Source organism: Homo sapiens, chromosome 4 (assembly GCF_000001405.40).
Source record: "Homo sapiens chromosome 4, GRCh38.p14 Primary Assembly".
NCBI lineage: Eukaryota > Metazoa > Chordata > Mammalia > Primates > Hominidae > Homo > Homo sapiens.
Window position 1 is genome coordinate 39,928,677 of NC_000004.12, and position 19,228 is coordinate 39,947,904.

The 19,228-nt window shown below is 41.7% G+C and overlaps 1 protein-coding gene and 1 pseudogene across 7 annotated transcripts in view, besides 1 other annotated feature; one reads left to right on the top strand and one right to left on the bottom strand.

The window, feature by feature from the left end:
- PDS5A (PDS5 cohesin associated factor A) overlaps positions 1 to 19,228 on the bottom strand; it is a 155,049-nt gene that overhangs the window by 105,814 nt on the left and 30,007 nt on the right. For 2 of the 7 annotated variants that reach the window (XR_001741188.2, XM_047449932.1), the window contains exon 1: positions 2,785 to 2,953. The exons of the other annotated variants lie outside the window; for them this stretch is intronic. The gene's annotated coding sequence lies outside the window, so the exon portion shown is untranslated. Of the gene's footprint in view, positions 1 to 2,784; positions 2,954 to 19,228 lie in introns of those variants that run through there. 7 annotated transcript variants of the gene reach the window in all.
- RNA5SP159 (RNA, 5S ribosomal pseudogene 159) lies at positions 8,077 to 8,179 on the top strand (annotated as a pseudogene).
- Positions 12,412 to 12,461: an enhancer, noted in NCBI's record as "active region_21469". NCBI's record gives its function as "activates an Ori minimal core promoter by ATAC-STARR-seq in GM12878 lymphoblastoid cells {active_cell/tissue: GM12878}" and the evidence as "EXISTENCE:reporter gene assay evidence [ECO:0000049][PMID:35858748]".

Sequence of the window (19,228 nt, forward strand, 5' to 3'; positions counted from 1 at the left end):
CAGCTGGGTATGGTAGCATGTGTCTGTAGTCCCAGCTGCATAGGAGGATGAGATAGGAGGGTCCCTTGAGCCCAGGAGGCGGAGGCTGCAGTGCGCCAAGATCACACCACTGCAATCCAGACTAGGCAACAGAGTGAGACACTGTCTTTAAAAAAAAAAAAAAAGGCATTTTAAAATTATATTAATGCAGTTGTATTTCTAATTAAAACATTTAATTAACCTGCTTTTATGGTTATAAAATTAACCAATGCACACTTTGGAATCATTATAAAATGCAAAGAATCATGAAAAAAAATAAAAGAAAAATCCATAATTTATCAACTCCAGAAACTACCATTCACATTTTTGTGTACTTTATGCTGGCCTGTTTTCTCTGTAATTATGCAAATAACTATAATTCTTTATGTATCAAATCACAATAATTTCCTCAGATCTTAAAAATGATTCTCTAATTATAAATCACAGTTTACTTAATCTGTGTGATGGTTAATACTGAGTGTCAACTTGATTGGATTGAAGGATACAAAGTACTAATCCTGGGTGTGCCTGTGTGTGTGTTGCCAAGAGATTACATTTGAGTCAGTGGGCTGGGGAAGGCAGGTCCACTGTTAAGCTGGTGGGCACAATCTAATCAGCTTCCATCGAATATAAAGTAGGCAGAAAAACATGAAAAGGGACGGCGGGACTAGCCTCCCAGTCTACATCTTTCTCCCGTGCTGGATGCTTCCTGCCCTCAAACATCAGACTCCAAGTTCTTCAGTTTTGGGACTCGGACTGGCTCTCCTTCCTTCTCAGCTTGCAGATAGCCTATTGTGGGGCCTTGTGAGTTAATACTTAATAAACTATATATATATATATATATATATATATATATATATATCCCATTAATATCCTACATACATATATCTCCTATACATATCCTATTGGGGCGTGTGTGTGTGTGTGTGTGTGTGTATTCCTGTTAGTTCTGTCCCTCTAAGAGAACCCTAATACAATCTGTCGCCACTGTCAAATATTCAAGCTATATTTTTATTCTGCCAAGATTTTTTATCATGAGTGTAAAATTTTATTATTATTATTTTTTTTTGAGAAAGGGACTTGCTTTGTTGCCTAGGCTGGAGTGCAGTGAAGCGATCTCAGCTCATTGCAACCTATGCCTCCCAGACTCAAGTGGTCCTCCAACCTCAGCCTCCCAAGTAGGTGGATCTACAAGCATGTGTCACTATACCTGGCTAATCAAAAAAAAAAAATTTGGGGGGCCGGGCGAGGTGGCTCATGCCTGTAATCCCAGCACTTTGGGAGGCCGAGGCGGGCAGATCACGAGGTCAGAAGATCGAGACCATCCTGGCCAACACAGTGAAACCCCGTCTCTACTAAAAATACAAAAAATTAGCCGGGCACAGTAGCACACAACTGTAATCCCAGCTACTCAGGAGGCTGAGGCAGGAGAATCTCTTGAACCCGGGAGGCAGAAGTTGCAGTGAGCCGAGACTGTGCCACTTGCACTCCAGCCTGGGCAACAGAGTGAGACTCCATCTCAAAAAAAAAAAAAAAAAAAAAAAAAAAAAAAGTTTTTTTGTTTTTTGTTTTTTTTTTTTAAGAGACAGGGTTTTGCCATGTTGCCCAGGCTGGTCTCGAACTCCTGGGCTCAAGCGACCTGCCTGCCTCAGCCTCCCAAAGTGTTGGGATTACAGGCATAAGCCACCATGCCTGGGCTATTGAGTATTTTTTGACACCTATTGAGATAATCATACTTTTTCCCTAATTCTGTTAATATAGTAAATCCCAATGGCTGATTTTCTAATTTTAATTCAAGTTTGCATTCTAATTTTACTATTTTAGTCCAAGTTTGCATTGCTAAAATAAAGACAACTTGGTCATAACATTTTAAGGTATTACATTTTATTTGCTATTACATTATTTCTATTTCTTTGTAATTATATGAAAGAAACTGGCTTATAACTTCTTAAGACAACCGTATCAGGTTTTAGTACTAAATTATACTGGCTTGAAACAAAATAAGCAGTGATCCCTCTTTTTTTCTAACATAGTATATCAAAAGTGTGATAGTAAGACTGGTTTTATTTCTTCCCTAAATATTTAGGGAAGTATAACTGATAAAAGAAGGAATCATAACGGAAATGAGAAAATATTTTGAACTGAATTATAATGTAAATATGAACTACCAAAACTCATAGGATGCACTTACCACTGTACTTAAAGGAAATTTATAATCTTAAATGTGTATTTTACAAAAGAAAGAATGCAATCATCTATATTTCCATCTTGAGAAATTAGATAAATCCAAAGAAACTAGAATCAGGGTTTGTGAAACAAAAGATAGAGAAGGGCTGGATGTGATGGCTCACACCTGTAATCCCAGCACTTTGGGAGGCCAAGTCAGGAGGATCGCTTGAGCCCAGCAGTTCCAAGACAAGGGTCTGGCTCTGTCACCTAGGCTGGAGTACAGTGGCGCAATCTCAGCTCACTGCAACCTCCACCTCCCAGGCTCAAGAGTTCCTTCCACCTCAGCCCCCTGAGCAGCTGATACTACAGCACACGCCACCACACCTGGCTAGGTTTTGTACTTTTTTTTTTTTGTAGGATGGGATTTTGCCATATGGTGCCCAGGCTAAAAAAATTTTTTTTAATTATTGCTATGTAACAAAATACCCCAAAACTCAGTGCCTTAAAACAATAACATGTATTTATCATATGTGGTTGAAGAATTGGAAAGTGGCTTAGCTAAGTCGTGTGGGCCTGGAATCTCTCAAGAGGCTGTACCTGGTCAAGGCTGCAGTTATCTGAAGGCTTGACTGGGCGTGGAGGGTGTGTTTTGAAGGTAACTCATTCTTACGGTTCTAAGTTGACACTTGCTGTTGTTGAAAGGCTTCAGTTCCACACTACATGGGCCTTTCTAGACAGCTCAAGTGAAAAGGCAGTTGGTTTTCCCCTGGTGCAAGATCCAAGAGAGCAAATATGAAGTGGCAGTCTTTTACGACCTAACCTTGAAAAGCATACATTGTCACTTCTACCACAGCCTGTTCCGTTACTCAGGACAGCCCCGTTCAGTGTTGCAGGGGACTATACAAGGGAGTAAATACAAGGAAATAAGGATCATTCAGAGCTATCTTGGAGGCTATGATACAATGCCTTCTCATATGTATACCTTATATAGTCTTCTTCCACAATGACTCTGGATTTGGTCAGGTGACTTTTTTTTTTTTTTTTTTAAGACAGAGTCTTGCTCTGTCGCCCAGGCTAAACTGCAGTGGCATGATCTTGGCTCACTGCAATCTCTGCCTCCCAGGTTCAAGGGATTCTTCTGCCTCAGCCTCCCAAGTAGCTGGGAACTACAGGCACTCGCCACCAAGTCTGGCTAAGTTTTGTATTTTTAGTAGAGACAGGATTTCACCACGTTGGCTGGGTTGGTCTTCAACTCCTGACCTCAGATGATCCACCTGCCTCAGCCTCCCCAAATGCTGGGATTACAGGCATGAGCCTCCATGCCCAGTCCATGTGACTTATTTTGGCCAAACAGACATTAGCAAGCCTGATGCAAGAACAGGCCTGATAAGCATTTGTACGTTGAGATTGCAATGCCCCTATGGGAATGTACCCACCATGCTATTAGGAATCCCAGACTATTCAAAAAACAGAGGCTGTGTATACCACATAGACTACGTGGAAGAGAACTAAGGTGGCCTAATTGAGCTGCCATCTAAACTTAGCCATAAGAGTGACCCTGTAGAAGCAAAGTAGAGCTTCATAAATACACACAACCAAGGGGAGAAAACCTGTGGTGGCTGTGAAGGTCCTGATGCCATGTATGTCAAACTGGTATCTTCCGATGGTCATGAATTTATTGTAAAAAGAGAACATGCAGCGCTAAGCGCGGTGGGTCACAGCACTTTGGGAGGCTGAGGCAGGCAGATCACGAGGTCAGGAGTTCGAGACCAGCCTGACCAACATGGTGAAACCCTGTCTCTACTAAAAATACAAAAATTAGCTGGGCCTGGTGGTGCGCGCCTATAATCCCAGCTACTCAGGAGGCGGGGCAGGAGAATCGCTTGAACCTAGGAGGCGGAGGTTGCAGTGAGCTGAGATCACGCCACTGCACTCCAGCCTGGGCTACAGGAGCAAGACTCCATTTCAAAAAAAAAGAGAGAACATGCACTAACATGAGGAACAATCAAAAGGCCATGCTGAAGCCAAGCACAGTGGCTCATGCTTATAATCCCAGCACTTTGGGAGGCTGAGGAGCGTGGATCACATGAGGTCAGGAGTTCGAGACCATCCTGACCAACATGGTGAAACCCTGCCTCAATCAAAAATACAAAAATTAGCCGGGCATGGTGGCAGGTGCCTGTAGTCCCAGCTACTCGGGAGGATGGGGCAGGAGTAACGCTTGAATCCAGGAGGCAGAGATTGCAGTAAGCCAAGATCGTGCCATTGCACTCCAGCCTGGGTGACAAAAGCAAAACTCCGTCTCAAAACCAAAACCAAAACCAAAACCATGTTGAATGACCCAGATCAGTTTGCTGAGAATGAACTCATTGAGAGCAATTTTAGAGAGGTCTGTTCATGTGTGCTATCAAAAGTATGTATGTATTGTCAAGAATGGTGGCTTGCACTTACAATCTCAGCTACTTGGGAGGCTGAGACAAGATGACTGCTTGAGCCCAGAAGTTCTAGGCTGCAGTGAGCTATGATCATGCCAATGCACTCCAGCCTGGTGACAGAACAAAATGCTACCTCTAGAAAAATAAAATAAAAGTTAAAGCATGCATATATTTTTACCTACGAGATTCACTAAACTAACAGTTCCACTGAAATTTCTGAATTCCCAATTGCACTTGATATTGCACTAGAACCGCTGATGCAGACTTCCCAGATTGTTATTAAATTAAAATAAACTGTTTAAAAAAAAAACCAGTGACCCCAGAAGGCACCACATGGAAAAGAAGGACCACAAAGTCTATTCACAGAATTGAAAGAAACAATTATTCATTTTAAGCCACTAGATTTTGCTTTACCACACAGGAACAGAAATGAAATTCCATTCATTCTTCCCTTTTTTAAATATGTCGTTACTGTGCACATTTTTAATGTGCTGTACTGAGGCAGGAAAGATAAAAGCTACATTTCCTAGATTCCCTTGCAATGGAGTTGAAGTCATAATTCTCGTATAGCCCATCAGAGGCACTTATTCAAGATTTGGAAGGTGAAAGTTCAGAAGAGGTGGTGGTGTAGTTTCTGCTGTTGTCAGCTGGCAAGTATGGAGTGAGCTGTTGTGTGTATGTGTGTGCGGGCAGGCACATACACAGCAGCTTTCTACTAACTGGCTGTTAGTATTGTGAAGATAGAGGGAAGAAGCATCCATTTTGTGCTGGTACTAATCTATTAAACTGTGTGAGGCTCTGTACCAAATTATACCAATGGTGACTTCCTAATCACTGGATTACGGCTAAACGTGTGTCCCTACTTAAGAGCTCCAGGGTGGCTTCCTGATTTTCCCACCTTTCTGATTAGAGCACAGGATTCAGCTCTCCTTGTGGGCCAGCTATACGAAGTGTTCTCGGAGTCTAGTCCTGTAAGCCTGAATTAAGGGTGCTCTTCCAGCAATTCCAAATCACTTTTTAAATAGCAAGTTCCCTGTCTGCTTAAAATAACATAACTAAAGCTTGACTGGTGTTTGAAACATGACTCTGATTTTCTCTCAGATCCTTCAACATGTCAGAATCCCCTGTGCCATTCAGGCCTTTTTAAATGCTATTGGCTCTTTGTAGACTAATCTCTTCTTACCTCATCTAATTTATCATACACTTATGAGAATTAAACAATTTCTTGGTAAGTCTGTGTGAATTTTTTCCTGTGGATTGTGTTTTAATACCCTCTGGCTATTTATCTATTGCGGTCTTAGTATTTCTTTTTTTTTCTTTTTTTTTTTTTTTTTAAGAAATGAGCAGGAAAAAATCAAACTAAGTTTTTTTGCCCACAGCTAGGTTTTTATAATATTGATAAAAAAGAAACACTAACACCAATACTATTAATAATGATTAACATTTACTGAATATTTACCACATTCCAGCACTCTATAAATATTTTTTTGAGACAAATTAACTCAAAATTAAGCATCTTTTCACGTATTTGCCACCTACTCTACGTTTTCTTGGTGACGTGCCTCTCCAAATCTCTTTTCTTTTTTCCTTATGTGTTTTCAGCTGTCATATATTCTGGGTACCAATCCTTTATCAGATACGTATATTGCAAATATTTTCTCCCAGTCTGAGGCTTGTCTTTAACAGCATAGAAAAATTTAATTGATGAAGGATTTAACGTAATCTAACTTTATCAATTATTTTCTTTTATGGTTTGTGCTTTGTGTGTCCTACCTAAGAAATCATTACCTAACCAAAAGTTGTAAAGATTTTCTCCGCTGTGGTATTGATTGATTGATTGATTGACTGATTGGGACGGAGTCTCACTCTGTTGCCTAGGCTGGAGTGCAGTGGCACAATCTCGGCTCAATGCAACCTCCTGCCTCAGCCTCCCAAGTAGCTGGGATTACAGGTGTGCACCACCACACCCAGCTACTTCCAGTAGAGATGGGGTTTTGCCATGTTGGCCAGGCTGGTCTCAAACTCCTGGCCTCAAGTGATCTACCCGCCTTGGCCTCCCAAAGCGCTGGGATTATAGGCGTGAGCCACCGCGTCTGGCCTTCCGATGTGTTCTTGGAAAAGTTTTATAGTTTTAGGTTTTTATATGTATGTCTATATTCATTCTGAGTTAATTTCTGTATGTACTGAAAGCTTTTGGGTCGAGGTGTTCAAGCCTCATTTCTAGAAAAGACTATTCTTTCTCTTTTTCTACAGGATTGTTTTGGCATCTTTGTTGAAAAAAACTGCTATACCATGTAGGCCTATTTCTGGACTCTGTTGTGTTCCTATTTTCTGTGCCCTTTTACCAATACCACATAGCTTTGATTACTGTAGCTTTATTAAAAAGTTTTGAAATCAGGTAGTATGTGAATCATCCAACTCAACATAAAAATGAGGAAAAGATCTGAACAGACTTAACAAGAGAAACATACACTGGAGGTAGATATATAAAATGGTACAACCACTTCAGATAACTGTATGGCAGTTCTTCATAAAATTTAAAGATGCATTTAACATTTAAGCCAAAAATTCCATTCTTAAGAATTTACTGAAAACATTTCACACAAATACAAGTACGTGTTCCTAACAGCTTTATTCAGCATATCACAAAACTGAAAATAACCAACTGTCCTTCAAAAGGTAAATGGATAAATCCATTGTGGTATACCCATACAAAAGACTTCTAATTCGCGATAAAAGGAACCTGACAGAAGCAAGGCGCAAATGGGGAGCAGAGAGGACTAAAAAGCAAAAGGAGGAAACTTATGAGGGTGATAAGTTCACTTTAATTGAAGTGATGGTTTCAATGCTGTGTATGTATGTCAAAACTTGTCAGGTTGTTATTCCCCGACAGCAATTCTCTGACACCAAATAGGTGTCCTACATTTCAATTCAGTTCTGACACTACCCACCTTAGCGCAGAACCCCACAGGCAAAGTTCTTCCCAAGACTGCCTCCACTTCCGATGCCAGCCCCAATTCTCAGGGACAACTTCCATTTCTGACAGACCAGCTATAAATTTCAGGTTTCCTATAGCCTCCTCAGGTTTAAAAATTTGCTAGAATAACTCACAGAACTCAATGAAAGCACTATATTTATTATTTATTATTTATCTATTTGAGACAGTTTCGCTGTCACCCAGGCTGGAGTGCAGTGGCACAACCGTGGCTCATTATAACCTCCGCCTCCTGGGTTCAAGTGATTCTCATGCCTCAGCCTGCCCTAATAGCTGGGTGCATACCACCACATCTGGCTAATTTTTTTTATTTTTAGTAGAGACGGGGTTACATCATGTTGGCCAGGCTGGTCTCAAACTCCTGCCCTCAGGTGATCTTCCCACCTTGGCCTCCCAAAGTGCTGGTTCACACATTACAGGTGTGAACCACTGCACCTGGCCTGAAAGCACTATGTTTACTGTCACAGTTTTATTATAAAGGAAATACTTGGAAGCCTAAACAAGATTGAGCCTGCTCGATCTTGGATGGTAGATCACTGGGGAATACCAGGTGCTGTGAGCTAGAAGGAAAAAGAAAGAAACAGAAAATAACAAGGTGGAAGAAAAGTATGTAACTCAAGAACAGTCAAACTGAAGAGACACATCAGCCAAAGTCTTGGGGGTGAAGAGGGGTGTGTGGATGGGATGGGGACACAGAGCTTCGTATACTCTTCTCATTGAATCTGGACATGTAATCCTCCCAGCATATCACTGTGTTCACCAACCACTAACCTCCCCTGAGCTTTAGTGTTCACAGGATTCACTGGGCTTTATGACGCAGGCATGAATGATAAAATCAAGACTGAACTCAATCTCCAGCCTCCCTCTTCTCCTGGGAGAAAGTTTCAATCCTCTAATTTAAGTGACCAGCCCCATCCTGAAGCTATCTAGTGGCACTGCCAGGAGCTGCCTCATTAGCGTAACAAAGACACTCTCACTTGGGAAATTCCAAGGGTTTTTGAGGCTCTGTGCCAAGAATCAGAACAAAGATCAGATCGATTATTATATGTCATATAATTTAAATATGTCCAAATTATTGTTCAGTAATTCAATTACACCTCAATACAGCTATTAAAAATTTTTTTTAATTTTATTTTTTGAGAAAGGTTCTCACTTTGTCGCCCAGGCTGGACTGCAGTGGTGTGATCAGGGATTACAACAGCCTCAACCTCCCTGGCTCAAGTGATCCTCCTGCCTCGGTCTCCTGAGTAGCTGGGACCACAGACGAATGCCACCATGTGCAACTAATTTTTATTTATTATTATTGGTAGAGATGGGGTCTTGTTATGTTGCCTAGGCTGGTCTCCAACTCTTGGCCTCAGGTGATTCTCCTGCCTTGACTTCCCAAAGTGGTGTAAGCCACTGTGTCCAGCCAAATGAACTTTTTGTAAGTCCAACATAGCAAATGAGAACTCTCACTCACTTTTTAATTGAAATGTAAATTGGTAGAACCACTTTGCTGCTTTCAGTTAAGTAGAAGACATACATGCCCAATGATTCAACAATTTCACCTCTGGTGGTGCCCTAAAGCAGCTAGAGTATGTATACAAGGATGACTGGAGTGTTAAGTTTAGCCTAAAGCTGCTTCCTTGCATAAATTCAGCCTAAAGGATTCTCCATACATAGTGAGCTGTACCTAACCAGATTGTAAAAAGACTGTAACCTACTCTCCTACCAATCACACAGAATTGTGGCCAATCACAGGTGGCTGACTGTTCAAACCGTGATCAAATAAGGCAAACACTGAGCTGTAACCAATTCACCTATTTCTATACCTCACTTTCGTTTTCTGTATATCACTTTCCTTTTTCTGTCCATAAATGTTATCTGACCACTTGGCAGCTCTGGAACTGTTCTGAACCTACTCAAGTTTGGAGGGGGCTGCCCAGTTTGTGAATCATTCTTTGCTCAATTAAATTCTGTTAAATTTAATGTGTCTGGGCCGGGCACGGTGGCTCACACCTGTAATCCTAGCACTTTGGGAGGCCGAGGTGGGTGGATCACCCGAGGTCAGGAGTTGAAGACCAGCCTGGCCAACATGGTGAAAACCCATCTCTACTAAAAATACAAAAATCAGCCAGGCGTGGTGGCAGGTGCCTGTAATCCCAGCTACTCGGGAGGCTGAGGCAGGAGAATCACTTGAACCGGGAGGCGGAGGTTGTAGTGAGCCAAGATCGTGCCACTGCACTCCAGCCGGGGTGACAGAGCAAGACTCTGTCTCAAAAAATACATATATATATATGTCTGAAGTTTTTATTTTAACAACAGCAATGTGGTTTGTAAAAGCCAAAAAACTACAAGTGAAAAATGTCAATAGAAGACTGATTAAACTGTATAATGAAATACTATATAAGTTAGGCCAGGCGCAGTAGCTCATGCCTGTAATCCCAGCACTTTGGGAGGCTGAGGCCGATGGATCACAAGGTCAGGAGATCAAGACCATCCTGGCCAACATGGTGAAACCCCATCTCTACTAAAAATACAAAAATTAGCTGGGCGTGGTGGCGCATGCCTGTAATTCCAGCTACTCAGGAGGCTGAGGCAGAAGAATCGCTTGAACCAGGGAGTCCGAGGTTGCAGTGAGCCAAGATCACACCACCGCACTCCAGCCTGGCAACACAGCGAGACTCCATCTAAAAAAAAAAAGCAATAATACAAAACTCAAACATAACACTGAAGACACAGTAACACAAGGAACCATATAGTATGATTCTAGCCATATAAAATTGAAAAAGTAAAACTAGAAAAAAGCCAGTCATGTTGGCCAATACCTGTAGTCCCAGCTACTTGGGAGGCTGAGGCAAGAGGATGGCTTGAGCCTAGATCAAGGCTATGGCTGAGCTATAGTTGTACATTGTACAGTGGCTCATGCCCGTAATCACACTTTGGGAGGGCGAGGCAGGAAAATCGCTTGAGCCCAAGTGTTGGAGACCAACCTGGGCAACATAACAAGACCTCATCTCTACCAATAATAATAAATAAAAATTAGCTGTGCATGGAGACATGCGCCTGTAGTCCCAGCTACTCAAGAGAATGAGATGGGAGGATCGCTTGAACCTAGGAGGGTGAGGCTGTAATGACCTCTGATCACACCACTGCAGTCCAGCCTGGGCGACAGAGTGAGACCCTTTCTCAAAACCTAAAATGAAAAAAAAAATTTTTTTTAAATAGCTTTACTGCGGCTGGGCAAAGTGGCTCACGCCTTAATTCCAGCACTATGGGAGGCCAAGGTGGGTAGATCACTTGAGGTCAGGAGCTGGAGACCAGCCTGGCCAACATGCTGAAACCCCTTCTCTACTAAAAATACAACAATTAGTCAGGCATGGTGGCACACGCCTGTAGAAATCCCAGGTACTTGGGTCACTGAAGCAGGAGAATCACTTGAACCCAGGAGGCGGAGGCTGCAGTGAGCTGAAATTGCACCACTGCACTCCAGCCTGGACAAAAGAGCAAGACTTCGTTTCCAAAAAAACAAAAACAAACAAACAAAAAAACAGCTTTATTAAGGTATAGCTGAACTACTGTATAATACTTTGGATATATTTAAATTGAGCTATGGTTGTACCAGTGTACTCTGGCCTGGGCAACAGAGACTCTGTCTAAATAAAGTAAAAAATAAATAAAACTAGAAAAATATGAAACTGGCCAGGAGCAGAGTCTCACACCTGCAATCCCAGCACTTTGGGAGGCCGAGGCAGGAGAATCACTTGAAGTCAGGAGTTTAAGATGGGCCTGGCTAACATGGCAAAACCCCATCTCTACTAAAAATACAAAATTTAGCCGGGCGTGGTGGCAGGTGCCTGTAATCTCAGCTACTTGGGAGGCTAAATGAGATAATCACTTGCCACTGCACTCCAGCCTGGATGACAGAGCGAGACCCTGTCTGGAAGAAAAAATAAAAGAAAAAAGAAAAAAAGAACCTATTATTTTTAAGAAATATGTAGTGAAAATGTAAGAAAACCAAGGAGACTGCATTAACATGGTAATGGAGGAATTACGAATGAAGGAAGAAGCTTATGATTGAGGGGAACACACAACTTCTGGGGGTGCTGATGATATTCTATTTCTTTATACGTATATTCACTTTGTGGTTACTTATTAAACTGCATTTGTTTTATGCACCTTTTATGTTACATTTCAGATATATAAGAATCTAAAGATATATAAGAATTTTAGATACATAAGAATCTCAGGTTCTCTTTAAAGCAGTTAATCTAACCACCTTTTAGATAATGTAGGGGCTTCAGAAATGTGAATTCCTTCACATAAAAATAAAGAAGAGACGAGGAGGAACAGGAGAGAAAGAGAGGAAGAAACAGACCTACAGATTTTTATTTTAATTTTTTGGAGACAGGGTCTTGCTTTGTCACCCAGGCTGGAGCGCAGAGGCGCTCACTGCAGCCTCCACCTCCAGGGCTCAAATGATCCTCCCACTTCAGCCTCCTGAGAAGCTGAGTCTACAGGCATGTGCCACTATGCCTGGCTAAATTTTGGGGTCTTGTTGTTTGTTTTTATTTTTGCAGAGACAGGATTTCATCATGTTGCCCAGGCTGACTCAAACTTCTAGGCTCAAGCAATCCACCCGTCTTGGCCTCCCAAAGTCCTGGAATTACAGGCATGAGCCACTATGCTCAGCCTAGAGATATTAACTGAAGAAACATAATGAGTTAATGGTAGGTCTAGAACTGAAAACTAAAACCCAGGTTTCAGGATTGCCAATCTAATACTTGCAAGGACACCATTTTAACTCATATGCTGTAAAAGCACTTTCTCTTCGTAGTTTTACTTTTCTCCAATTTTTCTTACATTTTACTTGCTTATTCTGTCTTTCCTGCACTAGACTTTTAAGTTCTGTGAAGGCAATAGATTTAAAAATTTGTGTAGTCCTAGAGTCTACAAAAAATGTGCCTCATACAGAGTAAGTACTCAGTATTTCTTGAATTAATGAAACTATTATCCCAGAAAACTTTACATGTATACCAATCTTTGAGCAACAAAAATCAACCTGTCAGGTGTAAAGACAAAGTGAGTTCTGAATTAAACAGGCCATCTAACTTTTATATTAAAATGGCAGTTTACTCACTGAGCATATACATGGACTGCTGGCTAAGATTGAGAATGAACAACCTATTTGCCAATACGTGCTTCTTTGCAGCTTCCTTTCCTATTTCGTACTATTATTTGTAACATAGCCCTTTTATTTATTTAATATGCATTCAAGGTGAAAACTACAGCAGGTGGTGCAGGAGCACAGTTAATGCATAAAGCCATTAGAATTGAAAGTCCACCTAATACACACAAACTAACTTTGGAGTTTAGCACATTAGAGCAACTTTTGGGCCTAAAGCTCAAGTTGAAGTGGCTTACTGACCAAGTTTATCACATCATTATTATGCCTTTTCATTGCACCTAGATGGTAAATTCCTTTTAAGAAAACCTCACAGGCAGGAGTGGTGGCTCATTCTGTAATCCCAGCACTTTGGGAGGCTGAAGAGGGAGGAGCCCTTGAGGCCAAGAGTTCAAGTTCAAGGCTGCAGTGAACTATGACTGCACAACTGCTGCTCCATCCTGAACCACAGAGCAAGACCCCATCTCAGCAACAACAAAAAAAGTGAGCTAGTTTCATACTGAATAAAGTTGGTAACATTTAGATTCCATTGCCAAAATGCTTAGTTTAGGCCCTTATTGCATCATACCCAACTTGAGTCTCTTTAGATTTTAAAACCAAACACAGTGCTCCTAAATTAATGTTATCCCAACTCAAAGAGTGATTTCCTATGGCCGCATTCCTTATGACATTTTAAACATCATAATCAATTTTATAATTTTGTTTGCCTTTTCCACGTCTATACTTATACATATGTATATGTTTATATATAATTATAAAACATTATGTAATGTCAACCCTCCGCTCTAGTCAAACTGGGTTAATTCATTATCTTCCAAAAATATCTTGAGCCTCTTTACAGCTTTACACAGAAAAAAGAAAGCTCACAGAGTTCGACACTTTTTTAAATATGTGAATATGTCCTAGAATTGCTTCTGCTCCTCAATACATACCTACCCTACCCAAACATACGCTCTTACTAAATTCTTACCCATCCTTAATGTTTTTGCCCAAATTCCATTTTTTCTTGAGACAGGGTCTCACTCAGTCACGTAGGCTAGAGTGCAGTGGCATAATCACAGGTCACTACAGCCTTAAGCTCTCAGCCTCCCGAGAAGCTTGGACTAAAGTCATGCACCACCACACTCACCTAATTTTCGTATCTTTTGTAAAGACCGGTTTTGCCATGTTATCCAGACTAGTCCTGGACTCCTGGGCTCAAGCGATACACCTGCCGAGGCCTCCCAATGTGCTAGGACTACAGGTATGAGTTACTACACCGTCAACTTCCTCTTCTGAAGGGATCATTGACTCCTTCGTACTGGAAACACTGTACCAATTATGAAGCAATTATTTTACAGCATCTAATGCTGTGGTCATTAGCATAAAAATCGTGTCTTCTCAAGAAGACACTAATCCCAGCACTTTGGGAGGCTTAAGTGGGAGGATCGTTTGATGCCTGGAGTTCAAGGCTGCAGTGAACTCCTAAAGGATCTCCTGAAGGATGGGGGCTGTGTTTTACATATTGCACATCTGCCCTACACACTAAGACATATGTACAAGGTATTTTCTGAAGGAATGAAATGCATTAGTATATTTTTTACATATTCTAGATTTCAGTAATTGACCAAGTCTGAGAACAGAAATGCCTCCAAAATTTGCATTTGGCAAAAACTATGCAAATACACACACACACACACACACACACACACACACACACACACACACACGCACGCACACATATATACATATATCTCACAATACTAAGTACTATTAATAAAGCAACAAAGACAACAAAGCATCAAAATATTTCTTTCAATTTCATTCAATTTCAACAAATTATTCTTTGGGAAAAATTCAATGACCTGTTTTTCTAATACACCAGCATAGACTACTTGATATATAATTTATTACTAATATATTTAGTCAAGGTTAGCATTACTTAATAAGACAAGGTTATTATTTCATACCTAAATTGTGTGGTGCAGAAAAATTAGATGCCACACATTTTACTAGCTTCTTCCTGAACTCCAAACCCAATTCTATTTTAAAGATCCATTCTGGCCAGGTGCAGTGACTCACACCTGTAATCCCAGCACTTTGGGAGGCCAGGGCAGGCGGATCACTTGAGGTCAGGAGTTCGAGACCAGCCTGGCCAACATGGTGAAACCCCGTTTCTACAAAAAAAAAAAAAAAAAAAATACAAAAAATACAAAAATTAGCCAGATGTGGTGGTGCGCACTTGTAATCCCAGCAACTCGGGGGGCTGAGGCATAAGAATTGCTTGAACCTGGGAGGCGGCGGTTGCAGTGAGCCGAGATCGTATCACTGCACTCCAGCCTGGGCAACAAAGCGAACCGTATCAAAAACAAACAAACAACAACAACAACAAAAAGATCCATTCTACCAGACCTAAACCATTTAACAAGCACATACTACAAAATACACTATTAGTCGGCCGGGTGTGGTGGCTCATGCCTGTAATCTCAGCACTTCAGGAGGCCGAGGCAGGTGGATCACGAGGTCAGGAGATTGAAACCATCCTGGCTAACACAGTGAAACCCCATCTCTACTAAAAAAACAAAAAAATTAGCGGGGCGTGGTGGCGGGCACCTGTAGTCCCAGCTACTCAGGAGGCTGAGGCAAGAGAATGGCGTGAACCCAGGAAGGCGGAGCTTGCAGTGAGCCGAGATCACACCACTGCAGTCCAGCCTGGGAAACAGAGTGAGACTCCGTCTCAAAAAAAAAAAAAAAAAAAAATACACTATTAATCATTATGGAAGGTTTCTAATGTAGGTAAGAAATGGTTTACTCCATTTATTTCCGCCTTCAAGATAACCCACAAACACGATTCTTAAAAATTACCTGGATACTGACTGTAACAGAACAATCATAATAGAAGTTATTTTTAGCCTCAAGGGGAATTCATAAGGTCCTAAAACATTATGAGTGGCCTTAAAGGCTGAGAGTGTGGCGGGGCACAGTGGCTCACACCTGTAATCCCAGCACTCCGGGAGGCCGAGGTGGGCGGATACCTGAGGTCAGGAGTTTCACACCAGCCTGACCAACATGGAGAAAGCCCGTCTCTACTAAAAATACAAAAACTTAGCCAGGCTTGGTGGTGCATGCCTGTAATACCAGCTACTCGGGAGGCTGAGGTAGGAGAATCGCTTGAACCTGGGAGGCGGAGGTTGCAGTGAGCCAAGATCACACCACTACACTCCAGCCCGGGCAACAACGGCGAAACTCCATCTCAAAAAAAAAAAAAAAAACAAAAAGCTGAGAGTTTGATACATGCATGGCGGGTTCAAAGGCTTTGAGACTTGGTTTTAACATAACCTCAGATGCTCTCTAATCTTTGGGTATTTGTAAGATGGAAGAATAAAACGAGTGAAGACGATATGATACAAACAAATCATTCTATATTTTGACCCTCACATAATAAATCCTCTATTCTTTTTTTCTTTACAGCTCAAACTGTTTCCATTTTATTTTCTTTACAAATTCTTAATTCTTAAAGCCTATTTGTTTATAGGAACCACTTGCAATAGTACTAATAGCTGCTAACATGTATTGTGTTCCTGCTATGCGTCAGGTACATTTCAAATAATTTGAATACACTATTAACTTATGTAATACAATGATATCTATGAGAAGCATTATTATTAATACCCCCGTTTAACAGATGAGGAAACAGGCCAAATAAGTTGTCCAAGGGCATAAAAATCTAAATGCAGGCGGCCGGGTGCAGTGGCTCACACCTGTAATCCCAGCACTTTGGAAGGCCAAGGTGGGCGGATCATGAGGTCAGGAGATCGAGACCATCCTGGCTAACATGGTGAAACCCCCGTCTCTACTAAAAATACAAAAAATTAGCCAGGCGTGGTGGCAGGCGCCTATAGTTCCAGCTACTAGGGAGGCTGAGGCAGGAGAATGGCATGAACCCGGGAAGTGGAGCTTGCAGTGAGCAGAGATCACGCCATTGCACTCCAGCCTGGGCGACAGAGCGAGACTGCCTCAAAAAAAAAAAAAAAAAAAAAAATTAAATGCAGGCAATGTAGCTAGTCACTCACTGCTTAGTACTCTTACCTATATGTTACATATAGTATAGTAGGAGGAATGCTTCCCCAAATGACTACTGAAATACACACATTATACTATAAAAACTGTACTGTATTAGTTATAACTACTAAGTGATTATGTTCCCAGGCAAACTCAAAAAGCCTACTTTGTCACAATTTAGTTAGATGAAGACTACAGTAGAAAATTTAGATGGGAGCATCTAGCAACTTAATAGATCTCTTAATCCATTAACTGAATGTCAAGTACTCTGGCTTTCCTTTTCCTTCATAAAGGTAAATCGTTTGCCTTATGCTTAAAATGATCAAACATTATGTAAGGTGTTTTTGCTCAAAAATAAAATAAAACACAGCAGTTTTTCTAAGGTTAAACGGATTAAGAGTTGAAAGAAAAAAAAGCAGGACAGGCGCAGTGGCTCACGCCTGTAATCCTAGCACTTTGGGAGGCCGTGGAGGGAGGGGGGGATCACTTGAGGTCAGGAGTTCGAGACCAGCCTGGCCAACAAGGCGAAACCTCGTCTCTACTAAAAACACAAAAATTAGCTGGGCATGGTGGCAGGTGTCTGTAATCCCATATACTTGGGAGGTTGAGGCAGGAGAATCGCTTGAACCCAGGAGGCAGAGGTTACAGTGAGCTGAGATCACATCACTGCACTCAAACCTGGGTGATGGAGTGAGACTTCATCTCAATAAAAAAAAAAAAAGAAAGAAAAAAAAAGGAAAGGAAAAGAGATTCAAGCAGACAAGCGTACATATGTGGGAAAAAGGCAGATGGAATTAATTATGGCAGGAGCAGTGAGAGTTTAGAGGAAAATCAACAGTAAGTATAGGGAAATTCCCCTACAGGCACGATGAGAAACGGGTGGTGGGAAAAAGCAGACAGTGGCAGAGAAGCAGAAGTGGGCATCGCCTTCCTATATCAGTTGCCAAAAATATTACCACCCAGAAGAACATGATGGCAGCTAGAGAAAGGGAAACAAAAAGCTGGTTCTTTGAAAACATCAACAAAACTGACGACTTTTCAGCTAGACTGACCAAGAAAAAAAGACCAAATTACTACATTCAGAATGAAAATAGACATGTTACTAATTACCTTACAGAAATAAAACCCATTGGCCAGGCGTGGTGGCTCATGCCTGTAATCCCAGAACTTTGGGAGGCCAAGACAAGCGGATCACTTGAGGTCAGGAGTTCGAGACCAGCCTGGGCAATATGGTGAAACCCTGTCTCTACTAAAAATACAAAAAATCAGTCAGGCGTGGCGGGCACCTGTAATCCTAGCTACTTGGGAGGCTGAGGCAGGAGAATCGCTTCAACCCAGGAGGTGTGGATTGCAGTGAGCCAAGATTGCACCACTGCACTCCAGCCTGGGCGTTGCAGCAAGACTTGTGTCTTGGGAAAAAGAGAAATAAATAAAACTGATCATAAAGGACTACTATAGGCTGGAAGTGGTGGCTCACATCTGTAAAACCAGCACTGTGAGGGGATGAGGTGAGGGGAATTACTTCAGGCCCATGAGTTCGAGATCAGCCTGGGCAACACAGGAAGACCCTATCTCTATTGAGAAAAAAAAATTAATTAAAATATGTTTTTTAAAAATCCTATTTCTATACACTTGGAATGAATAATCTGACAAAGAAATTAAACAAACATGACCAGGCATGGTGGTTCACGCCTGTAATCCCAGCAATTTGGGAGGGTGATGCTGGCGGACCACTTGAGGTCAAGAGCTCAAGACCAGCCTAGCTAACATTGTGAAACCCCATCTCTACTAAAAATACAAAAAATTAGCCTGGGATGGTGGCATGTGCCTGTACTCCCAGCTACTCAGGAGACTGAGGCAGATAACTTGAACCGGGAGGCGGAGGCTGCAGTGAGCCAAGATCATGCCACTGCACTCCAGTCTGGGTGAGAGAGAGACTGTCTGAAAGGGGGGAAAAAAAAGAGAGAGGAAACATGAAATAAACATGAGGGAGTAAACCTGCTTTCTAACAGTAGTGTCCAATCCTTTGGCTTCCCTGGGCCACACTGGAAGAAGAATTGTCTTGGACCACACATAAAGTACACTAACACTAATGATAGCTAATAACCTTAAAACAAACAAAAAAAATTGCACAATAGTCTCATAATGTTTTAAGAAAGTTTATGAATGTGTGTTGGGCCACATTCAAAGCCATCCTGGGTCACATGTGACCCACGGGCTGTGAGTTGGACCAAGCTTGTTTATAAGAACCCACTTTTTGGGTAACTAATCCAGTCCCAGAAGAGTGAGAACTCACTCTCACAAGATGGCATTATCTATTCATGAGGGACTGGCCCCATGATGGAACACCTCCCAGTAGGCCCCAATTCCCAACACTGCTGCAATGAGAACCAAACTTCAACA